The 9889-nt window shown below is 41.9% G+C and overlaps 1 protein-coding gene across 1 annotated transcript in view, besides 1 other annotated feature; it reads left to right on the top strand.

Moving 5' to 3' along the window:
• Window positions 1029–1323: an enhancer, noted in NCBI's record as "tiled region #7870; K562 Activating DNase unmatched - State 1:Tss". NCBI's record gives its function as "activates a minimal TATA promoter and a strong SV40 promoter by Sharpr-MPRA in K562 cells {active_cell/tissue: K562}" and the evidence as "EXISTENCE:reporter gene assay evidence [ECO:0000049][PMID:27701403]".
• The window catches only part of CDC23 (cell division cycle 23), a 25674-nt gene continuing 17124 nt past the window's right edge, over window positions 1340–9889 (top strand). Inside the window, exons 1-3 of the mRNA NM_004661.4 lie at window positions 1340–1511; window positions 1600–1672; window positions 7979–8116. Coding sequence (NP_004652.2) covers window positions 1351–1511; window positions 1600–1672; window positions 7979–8116 — 372 coding nt within the window. The 5' untranslated portion in view covers window positions 1340–1350. The remainder of the gene's footprint in view (window positions 1512–1599; window positions 1673–7978; window positions 8117–9889) is intronic.

Raw genomic sequence — 9889 nt, 5'->3', positions numbered from 1 at the left:
CTGGGATTACCGGCGTGAGCCACCGCGCCCGGCCGAGACCCTTTCTTAAAATAAATAAAATAATAAAATAACAATTTAAAAATAGATAACTTCTATATAACACCCAGTGAATGACAAAATGGTTTCAAAAAAAATTCCCGAGGGGTTGGTAAGATAGTATACTACTATGAAAGGATAAAAACCAAAAAACGCCGAAAATGTTCATGTAATGTTTAAGAACATTGGGCTTTGGAGTAAAATCTGGTTTATAGTCTAGACTCTCTCCTTGGAAGAGTGATAGAACTTCTCTGAGCTTCCGTTTTTTCTTTTTTTTCTTTTCTGGTTTTGTTTTTTTTTTTTTTTTTTTTTGACGGAGTCTCGCTCTGTCGCCCAGGCTGGAGTGCAATGGCACGATCTCGGCTCATTGCAACCTCCGCCTCCCAGGTTCAAGCGATTCTCCTGCCTCAGCCTGCCGAGTAGCTGGGACTACAGACACGTGCCACCACGCCCGGCTAATTTTTATGTATTTTTAGTAGAGACGGGGTTTCACCGTGTTGGCCAGGATGGTCTCGATCTCCTGACCTCGTGATCCGCCCGCCTCGGCCTCCCACAGTGTTGGATTACAGGCTTGAGCCACCGCGCCTGGCCGAGCTTCCGTTTTTCTTTCTATAAAATTGGGATGATACGAATATCATAGTGCTGTTTTTAGGATTAAACCAGATTATAGTTGTAAAAGAGCAGAACCTGTTGTAGGATAAACCCTCAATAAATGTGAAATGTTAACAATTATTGTTAAATAAATGTTACAGAACAATGCTCTCACCCCCACCTCCCCGGGCTACCCGGGGTAAGAAAGGGTAGACAAAGAGGAAAAATCCTCCACATGGGGCGATACATCCTCCTATTTTAAGGAAGAATCCAGAGGCTACCATGCATCTTTCCTAGCATATACATCACTTTGTCATTATCTGGTACAGAGTCGGCCCTGAAACTACACCCTTTCTATTTTTCATCCAATCACATCACCCGTGAAAGGCACTCTCCCTTCTCCACCCTTTCTTGCCCCTACTCCCACCCCTAGCTTCCCAGTTTACTTTTCCCAGTCACTCATTCCCCTCTTCCCCGCCCCGCCCAGAGGTCGTGGCTTCTCCCTCGCCCCGCCTATTTTCTAATTTTCCCGCCTCAGTAGCTCTTGGCCATTTGGGGATGTAGTTGTTTCTTTTCCCCCGCCTCTTCGTGACGTTTCAGAAATAAGACCTATGATTGGTTTTTCCGGAGCAAGAGCCGGCCAATGACAGGCAGATATTTTTGGTGCAGATGGGCAGCCAGTATTATCGCCGATGATTGGCTGGAGTGGCCCGAGTCGGGAAAATGGCTGCGAGTACCTCCATGGTCCCGGTGGCTGTGACGGCGGCAGTGGCGCCTGTCCTGTCCATAAACAGCGATTTCTCAGATTTGCGGGAAATTAAAAAGCAACTGCTGCTTATTGCGGGCCTTACCCGGGAGCGGGGCCTACTACACAGTAGCAAATGGTGAGATGTTGGAGTGGGAAGGGACGGGGCTTGGATCCTTGGCCTTGGGGGGCTTGTCGAGCTGATCTAGTTTGTGTGGGTGTTCCAGGTCGGCGGAGTTGGCTTTCTCTCTCCCTGCATTGCCTCTGGCCGAGCTGCAACCGCCTCCGCCTATTACAGAGGTAAGGACATGTTTACAGTGAGCGCTCCCCATCAACCCAGGGGTGTGCCTCAAGAGCCACTGAGTGCCCTGTCACTGGAGGAGAGCAAACTGCTTAGCAGAAATGTTTGTAGAGGGAATTCAGGCATTCAAAGAGCTGAGTGTTTTAAATGATTTTATCCATTTAGTTTTCTTGAGCTTTGAAAGACTTGGTGGTGCTCTTATTTAAAGCTGGGGAGAATTAGTAAACAATTACTGCTTATGATTTCAGCCTTTTAGGGCTTATAGCCAAACCTAGACATAAGAGTGCCTCATAATAGTAAATATTATTATAAGGAATTATTATAAGGATATCTCATAATAAATACCCAAAAGGATGAGAAGAATCAAAAGTTTTGGTCTGGCGCGGTGGCTCACGCCTGTAATCCCAACACTTTAGGAGGCCGAGGTGGGCGGATCACGAGGTTAGGAGTTCGAGACCAGCTTGGCCAACACGGTGAAACCCCGTCTCTAGTAAAAATACAAAATTAGCCGGACATGGTGGCGCGCGCCTGTAATCCCAGTTACTCGGGAGGCTGAGACAGGAGAATCGCTTAAACCCGGGAGGCGAAGGTTGCAGTGAGCTGAGATCGCGCCATTGCACTCCAGCCCGAGGGCAGAGCGGGACACTGTCTCAAAATAAATAATAAATAAATAAAGTTTTTACAATACCTACACTGTTGTCTGATCAGCATAGCAAATAATGGTTAAGTTTGGGTGCTGGATTGAGACGACTCTGGGTTCAAATGACCTTTGGCAACTTAACCTTCTGAGCCAGTTTCCTCATCTGTGCAGTGACGATAGTAATAGTATCTACTCAATGGGGATATTGAGAGAAGTCAATGAGATAATAATATAGACCGCTTAGAAGTGTGCCTGGTGCTTGCATCTATATTTCGGTCAAGTTCTTTATTAGCAGCACCAATGTGGGCAAATGATTTCTAAGTGACAGCCTTCTCATCTATAGATAATGTTAATAATTGCTGCATTTTCAAGAAGATTAAATAAAGCAATAAGGGTAAAGCATACGGTATACTCTTAGGTAAATTTTTTGAGTCAATGCAGTTTATATTTGTCTCATTAGCTTTTACTCTTGTGCCCACTTTCATAATGCCTAGGCCCATCGTTGGTCCTGAATAGGATAAATAATTGTTTTTGTTGTTTAAATTTTAGATTCAGGGGTTACTTGTGCAGATTTGCTACATGGATATATTGTGTGATTCTGAGGTTGGGCTTCAGTTGAACCCATCATCCAAATAGTGAACATAATACCTGATAGACAGTTTTATTTTATTTTACTTTTTTTTTTTTTTGAGACGGAGTCTTGCTCTTGTTGCCCAGGCTGGAGTGCAATGGCATGATGGCTCACTGCAACCTCTGCCTCCCGGGTTCAAGCAATTCTCCTGCCTCAACCTCCCGAGTAGCTCGGATTACAGGCACCCGTCACCACGCCTGGGTAACTTTTTGTATTTTTAGTAGGGACAGGGTTTCACCCTGTTTACCAGGCTGGTCTGGAACTCCTGACTTCAGGTGATCCACCTACCTTGGCCTCTCAAAGTGCTGGGACCTGGCCAGATAGTTTTCACCCTTTGCTTTCCTCCTTCCCCACTCTTGGAGTCCCTGGTGTCTGTTGTTCCCATCTTTAAGTCCGTGTGTACCCAGTGATCAGCTTCCACTTGTAAGTGAGAACATGCTGTATTTGGGTTTCTATTTCTGTGTTAATTCACTTTGGATAATGGCCTCTAGCTGCATCCATGTTACTGCAAAGGACATGATTTTGTTCTTTTTTATGGCTGTGTCGTATTCCATGGTGTATATGTACCACATTTTCTTTAGTGCACCATTGATGGGCACCTAGATTGATTCCATGTCTTTGCCATTGTGAATAGTGCTGTGGTAAACATGCGAGTGCAGATGTTTTTTTGGTAGAATAATTTATTTTCCTTTGGGTATATACCCAGTAATGGGATTGCTGAGTCAAATGGTAATTCTGTTTTTAGTTCTTTGAAAAATCTGTGAACTCTGTTAGTTCAGAGGCTGAACTAACTTAACAGTTCCATCAACAGTGTATAAGTGTTCCCTAAATAGGATAAATAACTATTGAATGAGTAAATAAAGCATATTTATTGAGAAGTAGAGCCTCAGTAAATATCACCCTCTCCTGAGGGTTTGTATTATATACAGGGATTTTACAGACATTGCAGAAACCTGACCATTATTGAATTATTGTAAAGTATTAGCTATTGGTTTGTTGAATAGCTTTCAGTTTGCTGTGAGAATGATTGATTCAGCAGCCTCTTTACCAATTTGTTGTGTACTTAGTGTTTTCAGGTCTTCTCTAGGGACTATCTCTGAAAAACCCCAGAGTAATGTTTTGATCTAAAGTGTAAACTAGAGTAAACCTTAAAACTGTGATTTATTTACTTTATTTTGTTTATTTATTTTTTTGAGATGGAATGTTGCTCTGTCACCCAGGCTGGAATGCAGTAGTTTGATCTCGGCTCACTGCAGCCTCTGCCTCCCAGGTTCAAGGGATTCTCCTTCCTCAGCCTCCTGAGTAGCTGGGACTACAGGCGTGTGCCACCACACCCAGCTAATTTTTTGTATTTTTAGTAGAGATGGGGTTTCACCGTGTTGGCCAGGCTGGTTTGAATTCCTGAACTCAGCTGATCCACCCACCGAGGCATCCCAGGGTGCTGGGGTTACAGGTGTGAGCCACCGTGCCTGGCCAAAACTGTGAATTTTTTTTTTTTTTTTTGAGACGGAGTCTTGCACTGTTACCCAGGCTGGAGTGCAGTGGCTCAATCTCGGCTCACCGCAACCTCCACCTCCCAGGTTCAAGCAATTCTCCTGTCCCAGCCTCCTGAGTAGCTGGGATTACAGGTGCATGCCACAACACCTGGCTAATTTTTTTGTATTTTTAGTAGAGAGGAGGTTTCACCATGTTGGCCAGGCTGGTCTCGAACTCCTGACCTCAAGTGATCCACCCCTCTCAGCCTCCCAAAGTGCTGTGCTGGGATTACATGCATGATTCACTGCTCTCAGCCATAACTGTGATATTTAAAGTTATTAAAATGCAAGAGTATTATGCTTGCTCAATCTACGTAGTAGATGTTTGTTATAGCTTACTCTCAATTTTTTTTTTTTTTTGAGACGGAGTTTTGCTGTATTACCCAGGCTAGGGTGCAATGGCCCAATATCGGCTCACTGCAACCTCTGGCTCCTGGGTTTCAGTGATTCTCCTGCCTCAGCCTCCCGAATAGCCGGGATTACCGAATGTGCCACCACGCCTGGCTAATTTTTGTATTTTTAACAGAGACGAGGTTTCACCATGTTGGCCAGGCTGGCCTCAAACTGCTGACCTTAGGTGATCCACCCACCTCAGCCTCCCAAAGTGCTAGGATTACAGGTGTGAGCCACCACACCCGGCTTGCTTACTCTCAGTGTTTTATAAACATTACCAAAGAAGCATGTCATATAAGGCCTTAAACTCGTTATCCTTTGTCTTGGACTTAAAGCTTTTCTTTTCTTTTCTTTTCTTTTTTTTTTTTTGAGTCTCACTCTGTTGCCCAGGCTGGAGTGCAATGGCATGATCTCCACTTACTGCAACCTCCACCTCCCAGGTTCAAGTGATTCTCCTTCCTCAGCCTCCCAAGTAGCTGGGATTACAGGTGCTCACCACCACACCTGGCTAATTTTTTGTATTTTTAGTAGAGATGGGGTTTCACCATGTTGGCTAGGCTGGTCTTGAACTCTTGACCTCAGGTGATCCACCTGTCTTAGCCTCCCAAAGTGCTGGGATTACAGGCATGAGCCACCACACCTGGCCCTGAAGCTTAGCTTTTCTGAATATAAGATGTGACTAGGACCAATTGTGGCTTCTTGGTTTAAAAACTCAACCTGGCTGAGCATGGTGGCCCATGCCTGTAATCCCAGCACTTTGGGAGGACTGCTTGAGGCCGGGAGTTCCAGACCAGCCTAAGCAACATAGTGAAACTATATCTGTACTAGAAATACATGGTGGTGCGGTGGCACGCACCTGTGGACCCAGTGACTTCAGAGGCTGAGGTGGGAGGAGGATCACTTGAGCCCAGGAGGCTGAGGTTGGAGTGATTTGAGATTGCGCCACTACACTGCAGCCCAGGAGACAGAGTGAGATCCTGTCTCAAAACGAAACAAAACTCAGCCAAATGCTAAATGCCTCTAAATTACATGTAATTTTCAGTAGAACATTCCAGATTCTTCCCATAAGCAAGAATGAAACAGAAAAATTTAAGATTATATAATCCAAATAGTAAAACTTTCTGAATTATAAGGATATATCGACTGTTACGAATATATTTTATGCTGGGCCTATAGTATGCATGTATACATAGTCTTGTATAATCTGAATGCTTTTCATTATAATCCATTTTGTTTTCCTGATGATGCCTTTCTTGATTTTTTTGTCCCATTCAGCAATAACAAGTATTTCTTACTCAAAAAGGCATAATGCAGGTGAAAGAGTTAGGGGGAAAGAAATAAACAAGTGGTGAGTTGATATGAGAAGGGCCTCCAGAATCCTAAATCAAATGGTCGTATTTAGGACATGTTGATCTAATGAAGAAAGCACTGAATATGTTTTGGTTCCAGTTTTGTTCTGGTGATATTTGGGGCAAGAAAGATGAGGAAAATACAGTTATTCAAATTTTAATTAACTCATCCTTAGAATTTGGAGGATTGGGCCGGTGGTGGCTCGTGCCTGTAATCCCAGCACTCTGCTGTGAGTTCAAGGCGGGTGGATCGCTTGAGGTCAGGAGTTCAAGACCAGCCTGGTGAAACTCCGTCTCTACTAAAATACAAAAATTAGCCAGGCATGGTGGCGGGCACCTGTAATCCCAGCTGCTAGGGAGGCCGAGGCAGGAGAATTGCTTGAACCTAGAAGGTGGAGGTTACAGTCAGCCAATATCACACCACTGCATTCCATCCTAGGCGACAGAGCGAGGCTCTGTCTCAAAAAAAAAAAAGAATTTGGGGGATTGAATTTTTGTTTTTTGTTTTTTTTTTGAGACAGAGTCTTGCTACGTCACCAGATTGAAGTGATGTGGCGCGATCTTGGCTCACTGCAGCAAGGCTCAGCCTCCCGAGTAGCTGGGACCCCCGGCACATAGTACCATGCCCAACTATTTTTTTGTATTTTTAGTAGAGGCAGGGTCTTGCCACGTTGCCCAGGCCGGTCCTGAACTCCTGAGTTCAAGCCATCCTCTTGCCCTGGTCTCCCACAGTGCTGGGATTACAGCCACTGCGCTCAGCCAAGGATTGTATGTTTTTAACTTAAATGTGACATTATCTAATTTTTTTTTAACATAGAGAATTACAGCTGTGTTCTGTGCCTTCAGCAATACTAAATTATGACAAAACTTTATTGAAGTACAAAAAATATAAGTAATTGCACGTACATTGCATTTATGTAGGACTGTAAAAGACAGGAGAAGGAATAGAATGCCAGTATTAATGCTGGATATTTTATGTGACTCACATTTTCCTCAAGTCAAATCTGTAAGGTCAGTATTATTGGCTTCATTTTACAGATGAAGAAATGGATGCTAAGAGAAGCTAAGTAACCTCCCTACCAATGTCCTGAAACCAGGAAATCAAAAAGTCAGAATTTGAATCTAGGTCCTTAACACTAAAGCCTATTCAACTTTCTACTACATTTATAGAAACAATACACATTTATGAGTGTTCGTTTAGTTTTTTAAAGTTTTCTTTTTTCTCCATTTTTTTATTTTGAAAAAATTAGAAAGAAAAACTTGGCCGGGTGCGGTCGCTCATACCTGTAATTCCAGCACTTTGGGAAGCCGAGGCAGGCAGATCACTTGAGGCCCTGAGTTTGAGACCAGCCTGGCCAACATGGCGAAACCCCATCACTACTAAAAATACAAAAATTAGCTGGAAGTGGTGGCGCACACCTGTAATCCCAGCTACTCTGGCAGCTGAGGCACAATAATCGCTTGAACCTGGGAGGCAGAGGTTGCAGTGAGCTGAGATTGCGCCACTGCACTCCAGCCTGGGTGACAGAGTGAGGCTCTGTCTCAAAAAAAAAAAAAAAAAAAGAGTTCTATGGGCTTACTTGGTAATAAAATAAATATATAAAATTATATATATATGCATCTACATATTCTAGGTTTTTAGGAGGAAGAAAACAATCCTTTTTCTTTTACATCTTGAAATTAACGAATATACTTTTTAGATTTGAAGTTTTGTTGTCCTATTCCCAACCACTTACATAAGCTTGTTTCTTTTTTAGGAAGATGCCCAGGATATGGATGCCTATACCCTGGCCAAGGCCTACTTTGACGTTAAAGAGTATGATCGGGCAGCACATTTCCTGCATGGCTGCAATAGCAAGAAAGCCTATTTTCTGTATATGTATTCCAGATATCTGGTGAGGGCCATTTTAAAATGTCATTCTGCCTTTAGTGAAACATCCATATTTAGAACCAATGGAAAAGTTAAATCTTTTAAATAGCTTAGCAGTGGGCCACTGAATGAATGTACTTTATACATAGCAATAATAAAAAAAAGATATCATAAATAAAGTTAAAAAGGATGGTAGAGAAGAAAATATTCTTAGGAATGACTAACAGGATAAGTAACAACCTGATTATTTATTTACTTTAGGTTATATAAGGTTCTTCATGCCTGTGAATTAATATTATTGTGTAAGAATTAAGTTAAAAAGCCTGGGCTGACTTTTAAATTTATAAATTCATTTATCATGTTTATAGTATATTTATTGTTTTTCTTTCATGGCTATTAAAAAGTATGACTGTAAAGGACAATGCAAGTAAACCAACTTAATACTGTATTGAATAATAAGTACAATTTATTATTTTACTTTGAAACATTATGAATTTACTTTCCTACTTTTTCTTAGTTGTTATCTATATAAATTGATTAAAAAAACATTTTATGTACTTCTCATTTCCTAGTACAGGTTGAGTATCCCTTATTTGAAGTGCTTGGGACCAAAAGTGTTTCAGATTTCAGATTTTTTTCAGATTTTGGTATATTTGCATTATACTTACTGGTTGAAATAAAAAATGCTGCAGTGAGTGTCATTGGTGCTTTGAGTGTCATTGGTGCTGAAAAAGTTTTGGGTTTTGGAGCAATGCAGATTTCAGATCTTATGATTTAGGTTGATCAACTATTAGCATAGCTTGTATTTGTCAAGCGTGGTAAATTCTTGCAGTTATGGACTATGTTTAAGTCATCTTTGTTTTTTTTTTTTTTTTCCAATTTACCATTTTAACATTTTTAAAGTGTACAGTTCAGTGGTATTAAATGCATTCATAATGTGCAACCATCACCACCACCCATCTCTAGAACATTTTTTATCTTGTAAAACTAAAATTCTATACCCATTAAACAATAACTCTCCATTTTTCCCTTTCCCCAAGGTGGACCCCTTGGCAACCACTATTCTATTTTCTGTTTCTATGATCTGGACTACTCTAAGTACCTTACATAAGTGGAATCATGCAGTATTAGTCTCTTTGTGACTGGCTTATTTCACTTACCATAATGCTGTCAAGTTTCATCCATGTTGTAGCATATATAAGAATTTCCTTTTTTAAAGTTTAATAATATTCCATTGTATTTATATACCACAGTTTGCTTATCTCCATGAGTTTAAGAAAGATATTTTGAAATTATGGGATTTAAAAAGTTAATCTTTCACATACAATCTATACCTGTGTAGAAGCACTAATTTGGATGAGTTATGGTAGAATAGAACCAGCATTTGCTGAAGTTTGGGATAAAATAAAGTTCCTTAAGGCAAATATATAAAATATAAAAGGAAGCCCGGGCGGCATGGTGAAACCCCGTCTCTACAAAAAATACAATAATTAGCCAGGTGTGGTGGTGTGTGCCTGTGGCCCCAGCTACTTGGGAGGCTGAGATAGGAGGATCGCTTGAGCCCAGGTGGTGGAGGTTACAGTGAGCCAAGATTGTACCACTATACTCCAGCCTGGGCAACAGAGCAAGACCCTGTCACCAAAAAAAAAAAGAAAGAAAGAAAAAGTCCGGGCGCGGTAGCTCACGCCTGTAATCCCAGCACTTTGGGAGGCAGAGGCGGGCGGATCACGAGGTCAGGAGATCAAGACCACGGTGAAACCCCGTCTCTACTAAAAATACAAAAAATTAGCTGGGCGCA

The sequence above is a fragment of the Homo sapiens genome, chromosome 5 (assembly GCF_000001405.40).
Source record: "Homo sapiens chromosome 5, GRCh38.p14 Primary Assembly".
NCBI lineage: Eukaryota > Metazoa > Chordata > Mammalia > Primates > Hominidae > Homo > Homo sapiens.
The sequence above is the reverse complement of the archived record's forward strand: the minus strand, read 5'-3'. Positions and strand labels throughout refer to the sequence as shown.